Here is a 26,195-nt window from a genome sequence, read left to right on the forward strand (position 1 = left end):
TCAGTTAAACCAACTTAAAAATTGGCCTTTCCCGGGTGTGGTGACTCGTGCCTGTGGTTCCAGCTACCCGGGAGGCTGAGAGGGGGCTCGCTTGAGCCCAGAAGTTAGAGGCTTCAGTGAGCCATGACTGCACCTGTGAATAGCCACTGCACTCCAGTCTGGGCCACCCAGGAAAATCTTGTCTCTAAAACAAAACAACAACAACAAAAACCTTGTAACTCTGAACTAAAGTGCAATAAATTTTGTTTTGCATTAAATAAAAACAAATAGGCTGGGCGCGGTGCCTGTAATCCCAGCACTTTGGGAGGCCGAGGCGGGCAGATCATGAGGTCAGGAGATCGAGACCATCCTGGCTAACACGGTGAAACCCCCGTCTCTACTAAAAATCACTCTGTCCAGCAGAGTGATGGAGAATTTCACTCCTGAGAACCCAGTTCAAACAAATTCAAACAAATGGGCTCGCTTGACTGACCTCACTCAGAGCCTCGGTTGTGAAGTCCCTTCAGCTCTTACATGGAAGGAAAAAGAAAGTTAACATTTATGTGGCGAGCATATTATATACAATATCTCATTCAGTGCTCACCAAAAAATACCTCTATGGTAAAGGTAAAGACTTTACCATCCTTTTACCAGGAATATATAACTTTATATTCACAATTTACTGACACACATAAAGATGAATAGTTTGGTACAGCTCACACAAAGCTGGATTTGAACCCAGGTCCACTTGTCTCCAAGCCCAGACTTTACCCATACCTGTGATTTGACATTTGACTTCAGCTCAAAAGGATACGTAAATAGTGAAAGTGTAGGAACCTCAGCTTGGCCCAGGTCACACGTGTCTGCATTTTGAGCCATAAGACAATGAAGTGCTGAGAACAAATATGTCTTCAGAAAACCACAGTGTTTTCTTTTTCTTTTTTTTTCTTTTTTTTTTTTTTGAGATGGAGTCTCGCACTTTGGCCCAGGCTGGAGTGCAGTGGCACCATCTCGGCTCACTGCAAGCTCCGCCTCCCAGGTTCACGCCATTCTCCTGCCTCAGCCTGCCAAGTAGCTGGGACTACAGGTGCCCACCACCACATCCGGCTAATTTTTTGTATTTTTAGTAGAGACGGGGTTTCACTAGGGTTTCACCGTGTTAGCCAGGATGGTCTCGATCTCCTGACCTCATGTTCTGCCCGCCTCGGCCTCCCAAAGTGCTGGGATTACAGGCATGAGCCACCGCGCCCGGCCCCCTTTTTTTTTTAAGACAGAGTCTCCCTTTGTCACCCAGGCTGTGGCATGATCTCAGCTCACTGCAATATCTGCCTCCCAGATTCAAGTGATCCTACTGCCTCAGCCTCCCAAGTAGCTGGGATTACAGGCACCCGCCACCATGCCCAGCTAATTTTTGTACTTTTAGGAGAGATAGGGTTTTACCATGTTGGCCAGGCTGGCCTCGAACTCCTGACCTCAAGTGATCCACTCGCCTTGGCCTCCCAAAGTGTTGGGATTACAGATGTAAGCCACCGCACCTGGCCTGTTTTCTTTTTTTGTTGTTAACACACTGTGTATTTCTTATCTTTTTTTTTTTTTGAGACGGAGTCTCGCTCTGTCACCCAGGCTGGAGTATAGTGGCCCCATCTTGGCTCACTGCAAGCTCTGCCTCCTGGAATCACGCCATTCTCCTGCCTCAGCCTCCCGAGTAGCTGGGACTACTGGTGCCTGCCACTACACCTAGCTAATTTTTGTTGGTTTGTTTGTTTGTTTGAGACAGAGTCTCACTCTGTCGCCCAGGCTGGAGTGCAGTGGCACGATCTTGGCTCACCACAACCTCCACCACCCGGGTTCAAGCGATTCTCCTGCCTCAGCCTCCCGAGTAGCTGGGATTACAGACGCCTGCCACTGCACCCAGCTAATTTTTGTAGTTTTAGTAGAGACGGGGTTTCACCATCTTGGCCAAGCTGGTCTTGAACTCATGACCTCATGATCCACCCGCCTCGGCCTCCCAAAGTGCTGGGATTACAGGTGTGAGCCACTGCGCCCGGCCACGCCCAGCTAATTTTTGTATTTTGAGTAGAGACGGGGTTTCACTGTGTTATTCAGGATGGTCTCGATCTCTGACCTTGTGATCTGCCTGCCTGGGCCTCCCAAAGTGCTGGGATTACAGGTGTGAGCCACTGCGCCCAGCCAACACATTGTGTATTTCTAAAGCCAGACTCAGAAATCTGTTCTGAACCCAGGTTGTTTTGCATGACTTTATTACTTTATGGATTTTGTTGGAATGGCTATTTGAGCTTACTTTTTTGTTTCTTTTTTCTTTTTTTTTTGAGATGGAGTCTCGCTCTGTTGCCCCAGCTGGAGTGCAGTAGCGCAATCTCGGCTCACTGCAACCTCTGCCTCCCGGGTTCAAGCGAGTCTCATGCCTCAGCCTCCCAAGTAGCTGGGATTACAGGCATGCACCACCACACCTGGCTAACTTTTGTATTTTAGTAGAGACAGAGGTTCACCATGTTGGCCAGGCTGGTCTCAAACTCCTGACCTCACGTGATCTGCCTACCTCGAACTCCCAAAGTGCTGGGATTACAGGTGTGAGCTACTGTGCCCAGCTGAGTTTACTTTAAGCAGTGTACAGTGGCTGATAACATAAAAATTAATGGACACTGGTCCAGAGCTCTAAATGACAAATGACTTTAGGCAAGTCATTTAGCCTCTCTGGGCGTCAGTGCTTCACCATAAAGTGAGAAAGTTAGATCTAGATGGACTAAGGTCCATCTTTTAAAAAATTGGAGAGGATTTATTTATTTATTTATTTATTTATTTATTTATTTATTTATTTTGAGACGGAGTCTTGCTCTGTCACCCAGGTTGGAGTGCAGTGGCACGATCTCAGCTCACTGCAAGCTCCGCCTCCCGGGTTCACGCCATTCTCCTGCCTCAGCCTCTTGAGTAGCTGGGACTACAGGCACCCGCCACCACGCCTGGCTAATTTTTTGTATTTTTAGTAGAGACGGGGTTTCACTGTGTTAGCCAGGATGGTCTCGATCTCCTGACCTCGTGATCCACCCGCCTCGGCCTCCCAAAGTGCTAGGATTACAGGCGTGAGCCACCGCGCCCGGCCAGGAGAGAATCTCTTGAGCCCAGGAGATCGAGACTAACCTGCAGGAGGACCACCTGAGTCTGGGAGATCAAGGCTGTGGGGAGCTGTGATTGTGCCAATGAACTCCAGCCAGGGTGACACAGTGAGACCCCCACCTCAAAAAAAAAAAAAAAAAAAGAAAAGAAAAAAGAAACGCTGTACCCTTTAGCTGTCACCCTCTGACCTCCTTATCTTTCCTGAACTCTAAGCTACCACTAATCTACGTTCTGTCTCTATCCATTTCTGTGTTCTGGACATTTCATAGAAATAGAATCATGTAATATGCAGTTTTTGTGACTAGCTTCTTTTACTTAGAATAACATTTTCAAGGTTTGTCCATGTTACAGCATTTATTAGTGCTTTATTATTATTATTATTTTGAGATGGAGTCTCGCTCTGTTGGCCAGGCTGGAGTGCAATGGCATGATCTCGGCTCACTGCAACCTCTGCCTCCTGGGTTCCAGCAATTCTCCTGCCTCAGCCTCTCTAGTAGCTGAGATTACAGGCACGTGCCACCACGCCCAGCCAATTTTTGCATGTTTAGTAGAGACGGGGTTTCACCATGTTGGCCAGGCTGGTCTCGAACTCCTGACCTCATGATCTGCCCACCTCTGCCTCCCAAAGTGCTGGGATTACAGGCGTGAGCCACCATGCCCAACCTAGTGCTTTATTATTAAATAATATTCCATTGTATAGATATACCACATTTTATCCATTCATCAGTTCATGGATTGGGTTGTTTCCACCTTTTGACTATTGTGAATAATGCTGATATGAACATTCGTGGACACATGTTTGTGTGGGTATATTTTGCCGTTCCCTTGGGTAGATACCCAGAATGAAAATGGCTGGGTCAAATGGTAACTCTATGTTTAACTTTTTGGGGAAAGGCTAGGCTGTTTTCCAAAGTGGCTGCCCCATTCCTACCAACAGTGTATAAACGTTCCAATATCTTTACATTTTTAACACGTTGTTATCTGACAAATCCAGTTTCTTGGAAAGAAACATTTCAAAGGGACTTATGAACAGAAGCCACGTCTGTGTCTCCAGTGGTGGGGAGACAAAATCGTAGATCCCCGCAGCAGTATCCCCAGGTCCACAGCTTCTGTACCAAGGGAAAGGGTTATACAGAAGGGATGTGTGGACAAGCAAAGTATGATAACATCAAGGCTGTTTGATTTAATGGTAGGATTGATGGTAAGTACAGTCTCCTATACAAGGAACAATAGATAAACTGGAAATCTTAGAGGCCTTCCTGGAACAGGAGTTAATCAGAAGCCAACATAGTAGATTAGCATCCAAGATGGAGTTGCTTTACCCTCAACAGAGGAGTCTTAGGCTCATAGCAACATTGAGAGGGAGGTAGAGAGATTTCCTATCTGCCCCCTGCCCCACGCATGCACCTCCTCTCCCATTGTCATCTTCCACCAGAGGGTACATTTGTTACAATTGATCAACTTACATTGTCACATCATTACCACCCAAAGTCTATTGTTGACATGAGGGTGTGCCACAAGAGGGATGGCACCTGTAGGCTCTGGCTGGGGGGAGGGGGTGGCTATTGAATCCATTATCAGCCACAGATCCCCAGTTGCAGTTGGAGACAGGCTTTACTCTGGGCCACCAAAGTCTGAGCTTTTCCCAGACAGATTTGGTTTTGTTTTTGTTTTTGTCGTTTTTGAGATGGAGTCTTGCTCTGTCGCCCAGGCTGGAGTACAATGGTGCAAGTACAGCTCACTGCAAACTCTGCATCCCAGGCTCAAGCGATCCTCCCACTTCAGCCTCCTGAGTAGCTGGGACCACAGGCATGCGCCACCACGCCTGGCTAATTTTTATATTTTTTGTAGAGACAGAGTCTTGCCATGTTTTTATATTTTTTGTAGAGACAGTCTCGCCATGTTGCCCACGCTGGCCTCAAACTCCTGACCTCAAGCAATCCTCCTGCCTTGGCCTCCCAAAGCGCTTGGATTATAGGCATGAGCCACCACCCCCGGACCCAGAGATGAATTTTTTGTCTGGGGGTTTCTAGAGGAACAGGAGGTGGTGGCGGATGCCAAGTGCAGCAGCTGTTTTAGTCCTGACTCTCACTTCCCGCTTCCTGGTCCTGGGGTGCCTGGTGGCTTGGTCTCCCCTGCAGTCCCCTTGCAGCCTTTCCTGGGCTGTGGCTGTCAACACCTGTTTCATCTATTGCCTTCTTCTATTCACTTTCCATAGTCTCAAAAGTCAGAAAAATGTTTCCTCTGTTGGGGCCTTTCCCTCTCATTTTCTTTGCTGTTTTGCTACAGGCTGGCAGGCATTGTTGGGGGCGTGTGTATGTCCACGTGTGCACAAAACCTGCCCTTCTCCACAGCACCATGCTGCTACCCACTGCTTAACAGGACTCTTGAGCAAGTAGTTCTTTTTTTTTTTTTTTTTTTTTTTTTTTGAAATGGAGTCTTGGTCTGTTGCCCAGGCTGGAGTGCAGTGGTGCGATCTCGACTCACTGCAACCTCGACCTCCTGGGTTCAAGCAATTCTCCTGCCTCAGCCTCCCAAGTAGCTGGGATTACAGGCATGCGCCACCACCCCGCCCGGCTAATTTTTGTATTTTTAGTAGAGACGGGGTTTCACCATGTTGACCAGGTTGGCCTAGGACTCCTGACCTCAAGTGATCCACCCACCTCGGCCTCCCTTACAGGCGGGAGCCACCATGCCTGGCCTCTTGAGTAAGTTCTTGATGGTCACATTTTTTGTTCTTGTGCCCAGAAAATGCCTTCCCTTCTTCCAGGCCCCTTGGAATTGACATTGATGTTCCTGCCAGACTTTGTTTTATTATTATTATTATTTTTTGAGATGGAGTCTCGCTCTGTCGCCCAGGCTGGAGTGCAGTGGCATGATCTCGGCTCACTGCAAGCTCTGCCTCCCGGGTTCATGCCATTATCCTGCCTCAGCCTCCCGAGCAGCTGGGAATACAGGCGCCTGCCACCACGCCTGGATAATTTTGTGTATTTTTAGTAGAGACAGGGTTTCGCCATGTTAGCCAGGGTGGTCTCGATCTCCTGACCTCATGATCTGCCTGCCTTGGCCTCTCAAAGTGCTGGGATTACAGGCATGTGCCACCGCGCCCGGCCCAGACTTTGTTTTTTCTTGTTGTTTGTTTTTGAGACAGTCTCCCTCTGTCACCCAGGCTGGAGTGCGGTGCCACTATCTCGGTTCACTGCAACCCCTGCCTCCCGGGTTCAAGTGATTCTCGTGCTTCAGCCTCCCAAGTAGCTGGGACTACAGGCATGCCACCATGCCCGACTAATTTTTGTATTTTTAGTAGAGATGGGGCTTCACCATGTTGCCTAGGCTGGTCTTGAACTCCTGACCTCAAGTGATCTGCCACCTCAGCCTCCCAAAGTGCTGGGCTACAGGTATGAGCCACGGCACCCAGCCTCCTTCCAGACTTTGTGCCATGGAGATGTGGGGGCCAGGACCATTGGCCCCTAAAGGTTCACTGAAAAATCACTGGCACAAGGCAGACAATTATTAGGAGTAAAGGGAATCTCACGAGGTTTGGGTCTGCACCGTGCATATTGGACTTTCCCTTCATTCAGAACAACTTACTGAGCGTCTTTATGTGCCCAACACTGTGCTGGGCATCGGGGGAGCCATGGTGAGCTAGACAGAGAGTCCTGGTCTCCCAAGGGTTCCGCACGGGAAGTACCAGCCGTGGGAGCAATATAGAACTGGAATCTAGGAAGGGATCTGGGAAAAGTGCTCCCTACAGGATTTGTTGGATGTGACAGGGTAGAGGAGGAGGGTACTGGGAAGACCTAGGGGTGAGGAGGGAACGAGGGCAGGGCCGGCTGGAACAGCCACCCTTAGTGCTTACTGCAGCCTTCTTCCGGGTTGAATCTCCCCATCCTACAAGGCAGGAAGCTACAGGAGGTGCCTGGTGGAGAGTCCGTCCTCAGAAATCATTTGAACAAATGACTTTTACGGACTTTTGTTCATCCCCTGAAGCTCCTGGGGTACCACTGCAGGATTTTAAATTGGGGAGTAGCATGGTTAGCTTTGTGTTTTTGGAAGAGCATCTAGGCTACAGCAGGGGAACCAGAGGGTGGGCAGGATGCCTGGGGAAGAGGGGGAAGAATGAGAGCAGCAAGGGGGCTGCGAGTGTGGCCTGATCCAGGATGATGGCCGTGAGGCTGAGCTAAGGGAGTTGGTGAGAGCGATATACAGGACACAAAAGGACTTTGAGATATGGGGTGTGGCAGTGGAACAAGAGGATGGGTCAGGCAGACAGAATTTCTAAGATAGCCCCCCAGAGATGCCCTGCCCAGAACCTGTGAGTATGAGGAGCTGTCACTCCTGCATGTCTTCTTATTTGGCACAGTCGACTCAGACAGGGAGAGAATCCGGGATTATCCGGGTTAGCCCACTGTAATCCCTTGAGACCTTAAAGCAGAGAGCTTTCTCTGACTGACGGCAGAGGGGCAATGACGGAGATCCCAAGAGCAAGCAGGATCTGAACGCTGCTCCCGGCTGTGAGGATGGAGGCACCATGTGTGAGGACCAAAAAGTAACCGCAGGAGCTGAGAGTGGCTGGATGACAGGAGGCGGGACCCAGGTCCTACAATCACCAGGAACTGAACTCTTCCAGCAAGAAGAGTGAGCCTGAGGCCAGGTGCGCTGGCTCATGCCTGTAATCCCAGCACTTTGGGAGGCCGAGGTGGGTGGATCATGAGGTCAGGAGATCGAGACCATCCTGGCTAACACGGTGAAACCCCGTCTCTACTAAAAATCCAAAAAATTAGCCGGGCGTGGTGGCGGGTGCCTGTAGTCCCAGCTACTCGGGAGGCTGACGCAGGAGAATGGCGTGAACCTGGGAGGTGGAGCTTGCGGTGAGCCGAGATTGCTCCACTGCACTCCAGCCTGGGCAACAGAGCGAGACTCTGTCTCAAAAAAAAAAGAAAAAAGAAAAAGAAGAGTGAGCCTGGAAGGGGATTCCAAGCACCAGATGAGATACCACGGCAGGTGGAGACTTTGATGGGAACCTTCAGCCCAAGCCCTGACCTCCAGGACTTCCGATGTACAGGACCGTGAGATAATACATGGGTGTCGTTCTCAGCCACTGAGTGGTCAGTTGTTACAGCAGCAATAGGGAGTGAATGCACCAGATTTCTGGACACATTCACTTCAGTGAAAACCAACACAGGGACCTGGCATGGTGGCTCACGCTTGTAATCCCAGCTCTTTGGGAGGCTGAGGCAGGTGGATCACTTGAGGCCAGAAGTTCAAGACCAGCCTGGCCAACATGGTGAAACCCTGTCTCTACCAAAAATACAAAAATTAGCTGGGCGTGGTAGTGGGCCCCTGTAATCCCAGCTACTTGGGAGGCTGAGGCAGGAGAATCACTTGAACCTGGGAGGCAGAGGTTGCAGTGAGCCGAGATTGTGCCACTGCACTCCAGCCTGGTGACAGAGCGACGCTCCATCTCAAAGAAAAAAAAAAAAAAGAAGGAAGGAGAAAGAAAAAGAAAGAAAAGAAAACCAATATAGAGGGCGAGGCAGGGCAGGCTGGGAAAGAAAATTTTAAAAAAGGAAGGAAGGAAGGGAGGGAAAAGAGAAAAAAGAAAAGAAAGGAAGACCAATGTAGAGGGTGAGGCAGGGCAGGCTAGGAAAGTAAAAGAAAAAAGAGAAGAAACGAGAGGAGAGGACAGAAAAGAAGGAAGGAAGAAGAGAAAGGAGAGAAGAGAGAAAGAAAGAAAAAGAAAGAGAAAGGGAGGGAGGGAGGGAAAAGAAAAGAAAACCAATGTAGAGGGGAGGCAGGGCAGGCTGGCAGAGGAAAGAGGTCCAGGGGGCTCGGGATGGATAATAAGGGTCCCTACCTCATCAGGCTGTTGGGAGAGCCAAGTGCATGTACGGTAAGTGCGGCCGCAGCTGGAACCGGGAGACCTACGGTGGAAATGGGAATGGAGATCTGTGAGTTGTGGCAGAAAGGCCTCCACCTCCCACTGAGGCGTGACGGGCGGGGAAAGCAGGTGGCATTGTGCTGCCTGAGCCACCGTGCGTGGCCCCGTCGCCCGGGAGCCCGCTGTGGCCTCCTCTCCCTCGCCTGTACCGCCACCTCGTGGAGCAGTGTGGAATCGCCAGCAGTCAGTCAGGGCGGGCTTTGGTTCTGGGAGTCAGTACTTCTTATGACCGTGCTCGTCTGACATCTGGCCTCTTGCTTCGCAGGAGGCAGAAAGGCCATGCTCCTGCCCTAGAAAGTGAGCGCGCTTCTAGTGAAGGGTCTTTAGAGCCCATTGATTCACCCTCCCGTCAACGGAGTGGAATGACGGAGGCCAGGCCCAGACCCCTGAGCAAATCAGGTTCCGAGGTGGGAGGGGAACCCAGGCAGCCCTCCCTCATTCATTCCTTGGCACCTGTTCAGCCTCTGGCTTCCCGTTGGCCATGGAGAGGAGGAGAGGCAGGGAGCAGTGCGCCTCCCCCCTTCTGACCTGTGCTTATTCTCCAGCAGCAGACACCTGGCGCTGCTGGCCTTCCTTTTCTCGTGAGATAGGAGGCATCTGTTTTTCTCTTTCTTCGTGAAAGACAGGAGAGCAGCCAGGCCAGAATGGGGGATTGCGGGGGGCGTGGAGAACTGGGCTGAGGGTGTTTGGGACCTGCTAGGCAAAGGGCTTGAGTGTCAGTCCAACTGATTTAGATCGAGGTCAGAAGATGTTCTCTGTTAAGGGCCAAACAGTAAACATTTTAGGCTCCGTGGACTATACAGTCTCTATCGTAACCACTCAGCCCTGCTGTTATAGTAGGAGAGCACCCAGAGACAATATGTAATCAAATGGGGTGGCTATGTACCAATAAAACTTTATTTATAAAAACATGGGGGCCGGGTGTGGTGGCTCATGCCTGTAATCCCAGCACTTTGGGAGGCTGAGGCGGGCGGATCACGAGGTCAGGAGATCCAGACCAGCCTGGCCAACATAGTGGAACCCCGTCTCTACTAAAAATACAAAAAATTAGCCGAGCGTGGTGGTGGGCGCCTGCGGGAGGCTGAGGCAGGAGAATCGCTTGAACCAGGGAGGCGGAGGTTGCAGCGAGCTGAGATCGCGTCACTGCACATCAGCCTGGGTGACAGTGCGAGACTGTCTCAAAACAAACAAACAAGCAAGCAAGCAAGCATGGGTCCGCGGGTCGTAGTTCGCTGACCGCTGATCTGGACGGTGGTGGTGCCTGCAGGTTTTTCCAATCAGATGCAACAGCTGAGGCTGGGGGCCGTGGCTCACGCCTGTAATCCCAGTGTTTTGGAAGGCCGAGGCGGGAGGATCACTTGAGCCCGGAAGTTTATCAGCAGCCTGGGCAACAAACAAGACTTCTGTCTCAACAACAACAACAACATTAAAGAAAGAAAAAATGATGCGCCGGGGTCGCGTCGGGCTGGGCCGGGGGCGCGCCGTGCGAGCGGGATGTCCGGCCTGCGGGCGCTGCCGGGGCTCAGGCTGCTGGTTGCGGCTCGCGCCTGCGCGAATCAAAAGCCAGACCAGCGCCTGCCGCTCGGGACCCACCTCGTGGGGACGGCAGCGGCTGAACTCGGGTGGCCGCTGGGACTCAGCGGTCATGGCGAGCATAGCGGTGAAGCACCTGAGCCAGGAGGAAGCCCAGGTCGTGGACCAGGAGCTATTCAACGAGTACTAGTTCAGCGTGGCCCGACTTGTGGAGCTGGCCGGGCTGAGCTGCGCCGCAGCCATCGCCAAGGCATATTCCCCCACGTCCATGTCCAGGAGCTCCCCTACTGTCCTGGTCATCTGTGGCCCGGGGAATAATGGAGGAGATGGTCTGGTCTGTGCTGCGCACCTCAAACTCTTTGGCTAACCGGCCAACCATCTATTACCCCAAAAGGCCCAACCAGCCCCTCTTCATTGCGTTGGTGACCCCGTGTCAGAAAATGGACATCCCTTTCCTTGGGGAAATGCGCTCAGAGCCCGTGATGATTGAGCTGTATGAGCTGGTGGTGGATGCCATCTTCGGCTTCAGCTTCGAGGGTGATGTTCGGGAACGTTCCACAGCATCCTGAGTGTCCTGAAGGGATTCACCGTGCCCACTGCCGGCATCAACATTCCCTCTGGATGGGATGTGGAGAAGGGAAACTCTGGAGGGATCCAGCCAGACTTGCTCATCTCCCTCACAGCACCCAAAAAGTCTGCAACCCAGGTTACCCGGTCGCCACCATTACCTGGGGGGTCGTTTTGTGCCACCTGCTCTGGAAAAGAAGTAGCACCTGAACCTGCCCCTACCCTGACACCAAGTGTGTGTATGGTCTGCAGTGAGGGAAGGTGGGTGGGTATTCTTCCCAATAAAGACTTAAAATCGCCCCCTCAGAAAAGAAAGAAAGAAAGAGAGAGAGAGAAAGAAAGCGAGAGAAAGGAAAAAATGTAAATTAAAAAAGAAAAGCATCACGCCATTGCACACCAGCCTAGTTGACAGAGCAAGACTCCATCTCGAACAAAAAGAAAAAAATTAAAAAGAAGCAACCGATGGGATCCACTTCCAACACTGCATTCTGCAAATATTCTGTATGTATATGCAGTACACAATGCTATCCTTCCCCTTTTTTCCACCTTTTTCTTAGTAAGTGTCCATCCTCTCTTCACAGAAACAGTAGCATACTACGCACAGCATTCTGCATTTTGCTTTTTAACATTTTTTAAAAGTAATTTCAGTTTTTATTTTGGATTCAGAGAGGCCATGTGCAGTTTGTTACCGGGGTGTATTGCGTGATGCTGAGGTTTGGGGTATAATTGTTCCCATCGCCCAGGTACTCAGTATAGTACCCAACAGTTAGTTTTTCACTACTCATCCTCTTTCTCTCCTCTCACGTTGGCCAGGCTGGTCTTGAACTCCTGACCTTAGGTGATCCACCTGTCTCGGCCTCCCAAAATGCTGGGATTACAGGCGTGAACCACAGCGCCCGGCCTAGCTCCTACTTCTAAGTGAGAACCTGCAGTGTTTGGTTTTCTGTTCCTGTATTAATTGGCTTAGGATGATGGCCTCCAGCTGCATCCATGTTGCTGCAAGGACATTATTTCGGGTTTTTTGGCTGCACAGTATTCTGTGGTGAATGTGTGCCACATTAAAAAAAATTATTTTTACTTATTAAATGTTTCATATCTTTGTTTTATTTTTTTTTCTCTTTTTCTCCCCCTCAAGTTGAACTTCATTTTCTTTATCCAATCCACCACTGATGGGCACCTAGGTTGATTCTGTATCTTTGCTGTTGTGAACATTGCTGTGATAAACATACATGTGCCTGTGTCTTTTTGGTAGAAAAATCTGTTTTATTTTTAATATATATCTACTAATGGGATTGCTGGGTCAAATGGTGGCTCTGTTTTTTGTTTGTTTGTTTTTGTTTTTGTTTTTGGAGACAGAGTTTTGCTTTTGTTGACCAGGCTGGAGTGCAGTGGCACAATCTCAGCTCCCCTCAATCTCCACCTCCCAGGTTCAAGCGATTCTCCTGCCTCAGCCTCCCGAGTAGCTGGGATTACAGGCATGTGCCATCACGCCCAGCTAATTTTGTATTTTTAGTAGAGATAGGGTTTCTCCATGTTGGCCAGGCTAGTCTCGAACTCCCGACCTCAGGTGATCCACCTGCCTCGGCCTCCCAGAGTGCTGTGATTACAGGCGTGAGCCACCACGCCCGGCCTGTAGCTCTGTTTCAAGTTCTTTGAGAAACCTCCTAACTACTTTACACAGTGGTGGGATGAATTGACATTCCCAGCAGCAGTGTATTAGCATTCTCTTTTCTCCACAGCGTTGCCAGCAGCTGCTGTTTTTGACTTTTTAATAATAGCTGTTCTGACTGGTGTGAGGTAGTATCTCATTGTGGTTTTGATTTACATTTCTCTAATGATTAGTGATGCTGAACATTTTTTCATATGCTGGTTGGCTACTTGTTGGCATCTTCTTTTGAGAAATGTCTGTTCATGTCTTTTACCCATTTTTAAATGGGATTATTTGGTTTTTGCTTGTTCAATTGTTTAAGTTCCTTATATATTTTGGATATTAGACCTTTGTCAGGTGCATAGTTTGCAAATATTTTCTTCTATTCTGTAGGTTGTCTATTTATGCTGTTGATAGTTACTATTGCTGTGCAGAAGCTCTTTAGTTTAATTAGGCCCCACTTGTCAAATTTTGTTTTTGTTTCCATTGCTTTTGAGGACTTACTCATAAATTCTTTCCCAAGGCTGATGTCCAGAATGGTGTTTCCTAGGTTTTCTTCTTGGATTCTTATAGTTTCAGGTCTTACATTTAAATCTTTAACCCATCTTGAGTTGTTGTTATTATTATTATTATTATTGAGAGAGAGTCTTGCTCTGTCGCCCAGGCTGGAGTGCAATGGCGCAATGTCAGCTCACTGCAACCTCTGCCTCCCGGGTTCAAGTGATTCTCCTGCCTCAGCCTCCCGAGTAGCTGGGATTACAGGCACACATCACCATGCCCGGCTAATTTTTTGTATTTTTTCGTAGAGACAGGGTTTCACCATGTTGGCCAGGCTGGTCTCGAACTCCTGACCTCAAGTGATCTGCCCACCTCAGCCTCCCAAAGTGTTGGGATTACAGGCATGAGCCACTGTGCCCAGCCTTGAGTTAATTTTTGTATATGGTGAAAGAAAGTTGGTCCAGTTTCGATCTTTGGCATATGGCTAGCCAGCTATCCCAGCACCATTTATTGAATAGGGAGTCCTTTCCCTATTGCTTGTTTTTGTTGACTTTGTCAAAGATCAGATGGCTGTAGGTGTGTGGCTTTATATCTAGGCTCTCAGTCCTGTTCCATTGGTCTATGTGTCTGTTTTTGTACCAGTACTGTGCTGTTTTGGTTACTGGAGCCTTATAGTATAGTTTGAAGCTGGGTAATGGGAAGCCTCCAGCTTTATTCTTTTTGCTTAGGATCGCTTTGGCTATTTGGGATCTTTTTTGGTTCCAGATGAATTTTTAAATAGTTTTTTTTTCTAGTTCTGTGGAAAACGACATTAGTAGCTTGATAGGAAGAGCACTGAATCTGTAGATTGCTTTGGGCAGTGTGACCATTTTAATGGTATTGATTCTTCCAATTCATGGGCATGGAATGTTTTCATTTGTTTGTGTCCTGTATGATTTCTTTCAGCAGTGTTTTGTAGTTCTCCCTGTAGAGATGTGCCTGCTTCCCCTTCGCCTTCTGCCATGATTATAAGTTTCCTGAGGCCTCCTCAGCCATGCTTACTGTACAGCCTGCAGAGCTGTGAGCCTATTGAATCTCTTGTCTTTATAAATTACCCAGTCTCAGATAGTACAGGGTGAGAACGGATTAATACAGAAAATATATGTTGAAATCCTAGCTACTTGAGAGGCTGAGATGGAAGGATTGCGTGAGTCTAGCAGTTCAAGGCTACAGTAAGCCATGATCACACCATTATGTAACTGAACAGAAGGTGAGTTGCTTGCCATATGCAGAGTCCAATTAACGAGATCAGGATCTGGTAGAAATAAGATGATTTATTCCAAAGCTAGCTTAGGGGAAGAGGCACAGGCATCCTGCCTTTAAATATGCCACTTCACCTTTGGAGCAGAAAGCAGGAACTTTTAAAAGGCATGGAAGGAAGTGAGCAAGGTAGGGGGTCCTTATCTGCCAGTAGTAGAGCTGGTGACTGCTGGCATCTTCATGGGCAGGCTGGTATCTCTCAAGGCAACCTCTTTAGGGTGAGAGTTTCTTAGCAGGAATGCTTCAGTTTGCAAATCAACTGTTAACTCTTGAGAGTTCCATCTTGGAGTCCAGTTAGATAAACTTGCCCGTAGGGAGACTGGTGAAAGGGAGGTAGAAGGCTATATTTGTGGGTTTTTTTGTTTTGCTTTGTTTTGTTTTTGAGATGGAGTCTCCCTCTGTCACCCAGGCTGGAGTGCAGTGGCACAATCTTGGCTCACTGCAACCTCCGCCTCCCAGGCTCAAGCGATTCTCCTGCCTCAGCCTCCTGAGTAGCTAGGATTACAGGCGCCAACCACCACGCCCGGCTACTTTTTGTATTTTTAGTAGAGACGGGGTTTCACCATATTGTCCAGGCTGGTCTGGAACTCCTGACCTCAAGCGATCTGCCTGCTTTGGCCTCCCAAAGTGCTGGGATTACAGGTGTGAGTCACTGCACCCAGCCTATATTTCCATTTCTAAAAGGCTAAGTAGAAAGTGGGCAACCGGGGGAAAGACAAAAGAAGAGAGAGGAAAAATTAAACTACCCACTAGAAAAATGGGGGTACTCAGTTACATTTCCCCACTGACAAATTCCATTCCATTTCTATGGGATCTGGGCACCATATTCATTCTGGCTACTTCCTGCTGAGAGGGAGCATAGCCTTTGGGCATCAGAATGGAACTGATGTATTTGGAGTTGTAAATATTCATGAGTACTTGGGCTTGCAGATGATGTTTGTTGGAGCAATATAGTGCGAGGTCTTGAGAGCCTCTGAGAGAATGCCTGTCTTGCATTCCTATACAGGGGGTGCAACAGCAGTGGACCCTACAACAGAGGGATATGCCCATCTCTGCAATCAGGGCCAATGTTACAAGCAGCTTTGCCACCAGGATGGTTCTGACCTGGACCAGGATGCTAACCGCTGGTCTAGCAACAGTGTGGGGTCAGACACACCTTTGATTTGTTGGTGCATGTTTCACATGGCTATCGAGGCACTTCCTGAATTCTTAATTATCATGCAGGTTCACCACTGCCAATTGTAAGTGGATATGATGACAGATTGGTTGGGTATATATATTTGACAGGCTACAAAAAGAGCTATGAATCCTCATGAAAGTGTCTCGTTTTTGAGAAAGTATCAGCTTAAATAGCTGTGTCTCATCCAGAAGGTGGCATTGGAGATGGGCTAGGCCTCTGCATGTGATGAAGGCAAACAGATTTTTAATAGGAGGTGTTTCCATGGAAACAGAAGAAAAACAAAGGTTAATGTTGGGCAGTTTATCCAGATGTTAGGCTCAAAGCATCCTTAATTACAGAGGAGGAAGGCAGTGGCAGTCTGACCCGTTTTTCTCACCTGTATTGCAAAGAATAATATAGTAGGAATTTCACTGAGTCCAACTCAGAAAAATGGAAGAAAAATTTAGAAGGATTAATTTGGGATTGTATCCTGGGAAGAATTCAGGATTTAGTCCAAATTGCAGAAAATAATAAAAGCTCAAAAACAGTAGACAAGACTAGAATCTAACAACAGGTATACTATAGTTTTTTCTGAAACATAATTTTTCTCTCTCCAGTTCCCATTTTTACTAAAGACAAATCATAGTAGGACAAATTTATTTGAAAAATAACTTTTAGGGCCGGGCGTGGTGGCTCACGCCTGTAATCCCAGCACTTTGGGAGGCTGAGGTGGGTGGATCACGAGGTCAGCAGATCGAGACCATCCTGGCTAACGCAGTGAAACCCTGTCTCTACTAAAAATACAAAAAATTAGCCAGGAGTGGTGGCAGGCACCTGTAGTCCCAGTTACTCGGGAGGCTGAGGCAGGAGAATGGCGTGAACCTGGGAGGCGGAGCTTGCAGTGAGCAGAGATCGCGTCACTGCACTCCAGCCTGGGTGACAGAGCAAGACTGTCTCCAAGAAAAAAAAAAAAAGAAAAAGAAAAAGAAAAAGAAGTTTTAGTCTTACAATACTTGGCCCGAGTATTTGCATAAAGTATAGCAAGAATAATTATTTGTCACATCGGCTTTTTTAAAAATTGGCTTTACTGGAACTTTGTTTTATAAGGAATCTCAGATTAAGACTTTTTAAAGCCTTGAGTCCAGCCATGAATTTATCTGTGCCTGCAAATGCTATAGGAACTGGGTGAATTCCTCTCCTCAAGGTCCCAAGATAACTTGGGGTTCCTGGGCCTGTCAGAAAGTGACACTCTTGGCCAGGCACGGTGGCTCACGCCTGTAATCAGAGAACTTTGGGAAGCCAAGGCGGGTGGATCACGATGTCAGGAGTTCGACATCAGCCTGGCCAAGATAGTGAAACCCCATCTCTGCTAAAAATACAAAAATTAGCCAGGCATGGTGGCGTGAGCCTGTAGTCCCAGCTACTTGGGAGGCTGAGGCAGGAGAATCGCTTGAACCTGGGAGGCAGAGGTTGCGGTGAGCCGAGATCGCGCCATTGCACTCCAGCTGGGCCAACAGAGCGAGACTCCATCTCAAAAAACAAAAAAAAAAAAAAAGAGAAAAAACAGATTTGTATTGACCTTATGCAAATAACTATACTGCCATAAATTAAGTATACTTACAAATACTGACACCTAGCCAACCCCATGTTGGTCTTGAACTCGTGAGCTCAAGTGATCTGCCTACCTCGGCCTCCCAAATGCTGGCATTATAGGTGTAAGCCCCTACACCCAGCCTAGGTTTAAGCACTTGATATTACAAAATAGAATCCCAGGTCATTATAAGTAAAAGGGAAACATCTTTAATCACTGACAGAGGGAATACTCAGTTCTGAATGGGACCCAGTAAAGACAGCATGAGGCCAGCTGAATCTGTCTTTTTTCTCTTCCCCCCTTTTTTTGGTCATTTATTCAAAAGGCAAACAAAAATCTTTCATTATCTTTTTTTTTTTTTTTTTTTTGAGACAGAATCTCACTCTGTCACCTAGGCTGGCATGCAGTCACACGATCTTGGCTCACTGCAACCTCCATCTCCTGGGTTCAAGTGATTCTCCTGCCTCAGCTTCCCAAGTAGCTGGGATTACAAGTATGCACCATTACACCTGGCGAATTTTTGTATTTTTACTCGAGACAAGGTTTTGCCATGTTGGCCAGGCTAGTCTTGAACTTCTGGCCTCAAGTGATCCACCCACCTTGGCCTCCTAAAGTGCTGGGATTACAGGCGTGAGCCACCATATACAGCCAAAAATCTTTTATTATCTTTTAATATTACACTAAAATCTTGTTCAAAAGAGAAAGCCAAATTTCACCTTTGCATTAGCGTACTATTAATGTTAAACCTGATTCTTTTGTTTTGTTTTTTTTTGAGATGAAGTCTCACTTTTGTCCCCCAGGCTGGAGTGCAATGGCGTGATCTCGGCTCACTGCAACCTCCGCCTCCCGGGTTCAAGTGATTCTCCTGCCTCAGCCTCCCAAGTAGCTAGGATTACAGGCGCCTGCCACCACACCTGGTTAATTTTTGTATTTTTAGTAGAGAAGGGGTTTCACCATGTTGGCCAGGCTGGTCTCGAACTCCTGACCTCAGGTGATCCACCTGCCTCAGCCTCCCAAAGTGTTGTTATTACAGGTGTGAGCCACCACGCCTGGCTAAACCTGATTTTTTTTTTTGAGACGGAGTCTCACTCTGTCACCCAGGCTGGAGTGCAGCAGCGTGGTCTCAGCTCACTGCAAGCTCCGCCTCCCGGGTTCACGTCATTCTCCTGCCTCAGCCTCCTGAGTAGCTGGGACTACAGGCGCTCACCACCAAGTCTGGCTAATGTTTTTTGTATTTTTAGTAGAGACGGGGTTTCACTGTGTTAGCCAAGATGGTCTGGATCTCCTGACTTCATGATCCACCCGCCTTGGCTTCCCAAAGTGCTGGGATTACAGGCGTGAGCCACCATGCCCAGCCCTGTAAACCTGATTCTTAATAAAACCTTATAGACAAATCTATCCAATCCTAATTAGTTTGACCGTAATGTAACATTTCCATAAGCCTTTTATAGCCCTTTACAAGTTTCTGTTAAACAGCAGCTCAATTCAAGAACACCTTGTTATTCAGACACATGGGCCCAGTTTTGGCCCTGCATCAATATACTCTTTTTTTTTTTTTTTTTTTTTTTTTTTTTTTTTTTTTTAGACGGAGTCTCGCTCTGTCACCCAGGCTGGAATGCAATGGTGCCATCTTGGTTCACTGCAACCTCTGCCTCCTGGGTTCAAGTGATTTTCCTGCCTCAGCCTCCCGAGTAGCTGGGATTACAGGCACCTGCCACCATACCATTTTTAGTAGAGACGGGGTTTCATTCTGTTGGCCAGGCTGGTTTCGAACCCTGATCTCAAGTGATCCGCCCACCTCGGCCTCCCAAAGTGCTGGGATTACAGTCATGAGCCACCATATCTGACCAATGTACTTTTATTTCAATATTCAACCTACAGAAAAACAAAATAATCTCCTCAAAATCTTAGCCAGCTTGCTCAAACCCACAGAATTTTCTTTACAAGATCAATCCTTCAGAAATCCTTTACGACTTATCTAAATCTTCAATTTTGTCCCATTACTCTTTTAGATTAGACAATCCTTAAGAACTTCTGAATTAGACAAAATCATATTCCCTTGAACAAAAAATATATTTTCATATCTTACAATCTTTTACCAAAAACACATTCTACCTTCCTTATGCACCTTGCGTGTAAAACCTGTTTCTCTGGTAGTCTCAAGTATGTGTTACAATGTGAACTCTCAGCAGCTTTTACTTTTTGATGAAAATCCTCGTAGGTAAGCAATGTGAACCATGTATCAGGTTGTATATTAAAAGTCATAGAAGCAGTTTATGGCCTTAAAAGTATCTAGCAGATAGTACCTGGCCTGCCTAATTTAGACCAAATGTATACATTTATTTTTTATTTTTTATTTTTTTGAGACAAAGTTTCACTCTTGTTGCCCAGGCTGGAGTGCAATGGCGTGATCTCGGCTCACCGCAACCTCCGCCTCCCAGATTCAAGTGATTCTCCTGCCTCAGCCTCCCGAGTAGCTGGGATTACAGGCATGCGCCACCACACCCGGCTAATTATGTATTTTTAGTAGAAACCGGGTTTCTCCATGTTTGTCAGGCTGGTCTGAAACTCCTGACCTCAGGTGATCCCCTCGCCTCGGCCTCCCAAAGTGCTGGGATTGCAGGCATGAGCCACTGTGCCTGGCTTTTTTTTTTTTGAGACAGAGTTTTGCTCTGTCACCCAGCCTGGAGTGCAGTGGCACGATCTCGGCTCACTGCAACCTCCACCTCGCAGGTTCAAGCAATTCTTCTGGCTTAGCCTCCTGTAGCTGAGTAGCTGGGATTATAGGTATGTGCCACCATGTCTGGCTAATTTTTGCATTTTTAGTAGAGACAAGGTTTCACTATGTTGGTCAGGCTGGTCTCGAACTCCTGACCTCAGGTGATCCACCCACCTTGGCCTCCCAAAGTGCTGGGATTACAGGCATGAGCCACTGTGTCTGGCCCAAATGTATAAATTTTGAAGATGTTTTTATTTTACTTTATCAAGAATCTTTAAACACATGACCTAAAAGGTATTAATGTTTCTATCTTACTTTTTTTTTTTGAGACGGAGTCTCTGTCGCCCAGGGTGGAGTGCAGTGGTGCGATCTTGGCTCACTGCAAGCTCTGCTTCCCAGGCTCAAGTGATTCTCCTGCCTCAGCCTCCCCACTAACTAGGATTACAGACGCCTGCCATCACACCCGGCTAATTTTTGTATTTTTAGTAGAGATGGGGTTTCACCCTATTGGCCAGGCTGGTCTCCAACTCCTGACCACAAGTGATCCACCTGCCTTGGCCTCCCAAAGTACTGGGATTACAGACATGAGCCACCACGCCCAGCCTAAAGTTTCTATTTTTCTGACAACATATGTTTGACTTAAGTGATATTATTATTATTATTATTATTATTTTTGAAATGGAGTTTGGCTGTGTCGCCCAGGCTGGAGTGCAGTGGCATGATCTTGGCTCACTGCAACCTCCGCCTCCTGGATTCAAGCAATTCTCCTCTCTCAGCCTCTCAAGTAGCTGGGATTACAGGTGCCCACCACCACGCCCAGTTAATTGTTGCATTTCTAGTAGAGACGGGGTTTCGCCATGTTGGCCAGGCTGCTCTTGAGCTCCTGACCTCAGGTAATCCACCTACCTCGGCCTCCCAAAGTGCTGGAATTACAGGCATGAGCCACCATGGCTGGCCTAGCTGTTTTATTCTTTTTATTTTCCTTTTTTTTAGAGAAGGGGTCTCACTATGTTGCCCAGGCTGGTCTTGAACTCCTGGGCTCAAGTGAGCCTCCCACCTTGGCCTCCCAAAGTGTTGAGATTACAGGCAGGAGCCCAGCCTGTTTTTATTAAATGTCTTATTTATCAAAAATTTCACAAAGATCATTCTGTTTGGATCAAAATTTTGCATTATAGTTTTATAACTCTTATGCAAACTTTTTTTTTTTTTAGATGGAGTCTCACTCTGTTGCCCAGGCTGGAGTGTAGTGGTGCGATCTCGGCTCACTGCAAGCTCTGCCTCCCAGGTTCACGCCATTCACCTGCCTCGCGCTCCCGAGTAGCTGGGACTACAGGCGCCCGCCACCACGCCCGGCTAATTTTTTGTATTTTCAGTAGACACGGGGTTTCACCATGTTAGCCAGGACGGTCTCGATCCACCCGCCTCAGCCTCCCAAAGTGCTGGGATTACAGGCGTGAGCCACCGCGCCTGGCTTTATGCAAAATTTTTACACCTAATAACATCTGGCAGAGATCAACATGAAACCACTTGATCAATGAATCCAAACGAAAATGTATGTTGACAATTCTTAAGACATTTCTAATATTATTTTGCCAATAATTTTAAGGCCAGCTTATTTTTTAAAGACTTTACTTAATTTATGAGTACTTCTTAACTTTAAGCCAATTTGGCACCTTGTGGCCACAACACGAAACAAAATGCCTGTACATACACACAAACACACACATACACACTCATATAAAGCAGGCAGAAAACAAAATAGAGGAAGATAGAGCCTGGCTGGCTTCCACATAGGAGCCAGGTTTTACAAGTGGGGTGAGAGAAAGAAAGGAGGGGAAGGAAAAAAGATAAAGCAACCGAAAGGAAACGCTCCAGCCACTGTAGAATGTGGGGTCGCTATCCACACTGTTATTGTTTGTTGAAGAAGGGATCACGGCCCACAGACAAAGTCATACATTCATACGTGCAAACAAACAGCGCACTTCCAAAGGAGTCCAATCAGAGGGGCTGGGTGGGGTCTTCAATTTCCCTCCGCAGTTCCAAATGACTCCGCGGACTGCTGAGTCCCATCCGAGTAGAGCTCTCTTGGCGCCCCACATGCAGACGAACGCAAATGCTCAAATGTTATCACTAACAGCCAAATCTTTCTTTTTTATTTTTTTTGAGATGGAGTTCCGCTCTTGTTGCCCAGGCTGGAGTGCAGTGGCATGATCTTGGCTCACTGCAACCTCCGCCTCCCAGGTTCAAGCGATTCTCTGGCCTCAGCCTCCCAAGTAGCTGGAATCACAGGCGCCCACCACCACGTCTGGCTAATTTTTGTATTTTTAGTAGACGCGGGGTTTTGCCATATTGGCCAGGCTGGTCTCGAACTGCTGACCTTAGGTGATCTGCCCGCCTTGGCCTCCCAAAGTGCTGGGATTTCAGGTGTGAGCCACTGCGCCCCGCCCAGCCAAATCGTAAGTAGAGCAGTGACACCCAAAACAAGGCAGAGGGCAGTCAGGTGCACTCCAACCAACTTAACCAGCTCCTAATGATGGTGGCTTCCCCCCAACCCCACAAAAAAGGTGAACAAAGAAAGTTCACTTTCTTTGAACCAGGGGAGCACTGAAGGCAGCCAACATTGTGCCAGGAGGCAAAAGGGAGGTTTCCCAAAAACAAAAGCATTTTTGGCCGCTTCTGAGAAGTTCCTTAACATCCCCATCATGGGGTCTGCTAGCCACGAGCGGCTGGTGCTCACAGGTGACCCTAGGCCTCACCTAGTAGTGAAAGCAGGTGGTCAAGCACAGGCCTACCCGGAGCGCACAGCACTTCCCAGTCTGGGCCACCAGAACTGTAACCCAATAGCAGGTGAGTTAGTTGCTTGCTGCGTGCAGAGTTCAATTAGCAAAAGTGAGGTCTGATAGAAAGAAAGTAATGTATTATGAAGCTAGTTTAGGGGAAAAGGCACCACAAGCATCCTGCCTTTAAATGTGCCACTTGGCCTTTGGAGCAAAAAGCAGGCACTTTTAAAAAGCAAGGGAGAAAGTGAGCAAGGTCGGGGGGTCTCTGTGTTAACTTGGTGCCTTACCTACTGGGCCATTGTGCTGGTGACTGCTGGCATCTTTGTGGGCAAGCTGGTGGTCTCTCAGGCAGCCTGCTATAGGGTGAGAGTTCCTTAGCCGGCATGCTTCAGTTTGCAAATCAACTGTTAACCCTTGGTTTGTTCTGTCTTGGAGCCCATAGTTAGATACACTTTCCCTGGGAGGAGTCTGGTGACGGGGAGGTAGAAGGCTATATTTGTATTTCTAAAAGGCTAAGTAGGAAACGGGGAATGGGGGCAACAAGAAAAGAAGAGAGAAAAAATAATTAAATCCTTCCTTAGATAGAGGTACTCAGTTACAACTGCACTCCAGCCTGGGTGACAGAGTGAGACCCTGTCTCTAAAATTGTTTTCAATGAAGTATGGCAATGTGTGCTTGTAGTCCTGGCTACTCAGGGAGGCAAGATGGGAGGATTCCTTGTGCCCAGGAGTTCGAATCCAGCCTGGGCAACATATGGAGACCCTGTCTCCAAAACAAAACACAGAAAGAAAAAGAAAAAAGACGATGGCTCACGCCTGTAATCCCAGCACTTTGGGAGGCCGAGGTGGGTGGATCACCTGAAGTCAGGAGTTTGAGACCAGCCTGGCCAACATGGTGAAACCCTGTCTCTACTAAAAATACAAAAATTAGCCAGGCGTGGTGGCGCACGCCTGTAATCCTAGCTACTTGGGAGGCTGAGGCACAAGAATCACTTGAACCCCGGAGGCGGAGGTTGCAGTGAGCCAAGATTGTGCCACTGCACTCCAGCCTGGGTGACAGAGCGAGACTTTGTCTCAAAAAAAAAAAAAAAAAAAAAAAAAGGCCGGGAGCGGTGGCTCACGCCTGTAATCCCAGCACTTTGGGAGGCTGAGGCAGGCAGATCAAGAGGTCAGGAGATCGAGACCATTCTGGCTAACATGGTGAAACCCTGTCTCTACTAAAAATACAAAAAAATTAGCCAGGTGTGGTGGCAGATGCCTGTAGTCCCAGCTACTTAGGAGGCTGAGGCAGGAGAATGGCGTGAACCTGGGAAGCAGAGCTTGCAGTGAGCCGAGATCGTGCCACTGCATTCCAGCCTGGGCAACAGAGAGAGACTCTGTCTCAAAAAAAAAAAAGTTGAAATTTATCAACTGCCTTGTTAGTAGGTATTGATAAGACTGGTATCTTTTCTCATTTTATCTATTTATGTAATGAATTATATTGAGTTTCTAATATTAAACCATCCTTGCCTTTCTGGAATAAGTCCACTTGAATATCATTTTAAATTATATTTAAGTGCTATTGGATTGTTGTTGAGATATAGGAAAAGCCAAAGTGTTATTCCTAGTCTCTCACTCAACAGTCAATACACCTGTGACCCCAGATGTGTGTATTTTCCCTCTACACAGCAAGCAAGCAATTCTCTGTCAGACACCTGCTGTGTGTCCTCTAATTCAGTTTAACTCTAACACTATTTACCTGACGTTAGTGTCAGATCCCACACATTGAGGGCTCAGTCCCACAAGACTGTCCCCCACTTCAGATGTCAGTTGCAAGTCCAGACCTTTGGAACTTCTGACCAATTGGCTATACATTGGGGTTCCCATGACCCCTCCTCAGGTTTTATTAATTTGCTAGAGAAGCTCCCAGAACTCAGGCAAACACTTACATTTACCCATTTACTATAAAGGATATCACACAGGCCAGACAGAAGAGATGCATAGAGCGAGGTATGGAGAAAGGAGTGTGCCACCCTGCAGGAACCTCCACGTGTTCGGCTAGCTGGGAGCCCCCTGAATCCCGTTTTTTGGGGTTTTAATGGAGGCATGATTGATTAAATCACTGGCCACTGGTGATCAGCTTAACCTTCAGCCCCTCTCCCTTCCTGGGAGGTTGGGGGCGGGGCAGGGGCGGGGTAGGGGTGGGGCGTGGAGCTGAAAATCCTAGTCCTCTAAATGTGCCTTGGTCTTTCCAGTGACCTGCCCACCTCCTGAAGCTACCTAGGGGTCCCCCAGCCAGCAGTCATCTCATTAGCATATCAAAGACACTCTTACCTCTCTGGAGATTCCTCAGGTTTTAAGAACAATGTATCAGGAAGTGGAGAGGAAGACTATTTGTGGAGCTCAGGGGAAAAGACCAGATTAGAGAAAGAGATTTGAATCATTTTCATAAAGGTGGGATTTCATGCCAGGAAACTGGATGAGCTCACCTAGGGGCAGAATGTAGACAGAGAAGGCAGAAGACCCAGGACCCAGCACTATTTCAAGGTTCATCCTCTGGGGGCATGCCAGCAGCTGTGCCAACAGGAAAAGGCTACCTGGGGGTCAGGCATGTTCAACATGAAGGCTCCATCTTCCCTTTTCTTCGTCAACCACGTGTACAGTAAGGAGCAGACAACATGGTGCTCTCCAGGTAGGAAGCTCATTTGCATAATAAAACATTATGGGTGGACACTAAACGTCACACCTGGTCCAGCCAATCTTTGGGCCCTATGTAAATCAGACACCACCTCCTCAAGCTCGTGTATGAAACCCGGTGCATTTCACCACTAACCAGAAGAGCCACTCAGCGGCCCCTGTCTCTCTGCAGGAGAGAACTATTCTTCTTTCTCTTTCTTTTGCCTATTAAACCTCCACGCTGTTTCTTTGTTTTTGTTTTTGTTTTTGTTTTTGTTTTTTGAGACAGAGTCTCACTCTGTCACCCAGGCTGGAGTGCAATGGAGCAATTTTGGCTCACTGCAACCTCCACTTCCCGGGGTCAAGCAATTCTCCAGCCTCAGCCTCCCAAGTAGCTGGGATTACAGGTGCCCACCACCATGCCCGGCTAATTTTTTGTATTTTTAGTAGAGACAGGGTTTCACCATGTTGGTCAGGCTGGTCTCGAACTCCTGACCTTGGATGATCTACCCACCTCAGTCTGTCAAAGTGCAAAGTGTTGAGGTTATAGGTGCGAGCCACTGCGCTTGCTTGAACGTCTACACTTAAACTCAAAAAAAAAAAAAAAAAAAAGGTTCATCCTCTGAGGGGGAACCAGCAAAAAAATATACGTATATAGAAAATTCCTTGGTAATGAAGAGGAAAGAGACCCT

General features: G+C 47.8%; 1 pseudogene, besides 5 other annotated features; it reads left to right on the forward strand.

Moving 5' to 3' along the window:
• Positions 8,818 to 9,319: an enhancer, noted in NCBI's record as "H3K4me1 hESC enhancer chr5:177590971-177591472 (GRCh37/hg19 assembly coordinates)". NCBI's record gives its function as "activates a minimal SCP1, AML or CMV promoter by ChIP-STARR-seq in naive H9 embryonic stem cells {active_cell/tissue: H9 hESC(naive)}" and the evidence as "EXISTENCE:reporter gene assay evidence [ECO:0000049][PMID:30033119]".
• Positions 8,818 to 9,331: a biological region, named in NCBI's record as "H3K4me1 hESC enhancer GRCh37_chr5:177590971-177591472".
• Positions 9,282 to 9,331: an enhancer, noted in NCBI's record as "active region_23741". NCBI's record gives its function as "activates an Ori minimal core promoter by ATAC-STARR-seq in GM12878 lymphoblastoid cells {active_cell/tissue: GM12878}" and the evidence as "EXISTENCE:reporter gene assay evidence [ECO:0000049][PMID:35858748]".
• Positions 10,523 to 11,457, forward strand: NAXEP1 (NAXE pseudogene 1; annotated as a pseudogene).
• Positions 24,903 to 25,445: an enhancer, noted in NCBI's record as "NANOG-H3K27ac hESC enhancer chr5:177607056-177607598 (GRCh37/hg19 assembly coordinates)". NCBI's record gives its function as "activates a minimal SCP1, AML or CMV promoter by ChIP-STARR-seq in primed H9 embryonic stem cells {active_cell/tissue: H9 hESC(primed)}" and the evidence as "EXISTENCE:reporter gene assay evidence [ECO:0000049][PMID:30033119]".
• Positions 25,446 to 25,986: an enhancer, noted in NCBI's record as "NANOG-H3K27ac-H3K4me1 hESC enhancer chr5:177607599-177608139 (GRCh37/hg19 assembly coordinates)". NCBI's record gives its function as "activates a minimal SCP1, AML or CMV promoter by ChIP-STARR-seq in primed H9 embryonic stem cells {active_cell/tissue: H9 hESC(primed)}" and the evidence as "EXISTENCE:reporter gene assay evidence [ECO:0000049][PMID:30033119]".

The sequence above is a fragment of the Homo sapiens genome, chromosome 5, assembly GCF_000001405.40.
Source record: "Homo sapiens chromosome 5, GRCh38.p14 Primary Assembly".
Lineage (NCBI taxonomy): Eukaryota > Metazoa > Chordata > Mammalia > Primates > Hominidae > Homo > Homo sapiens.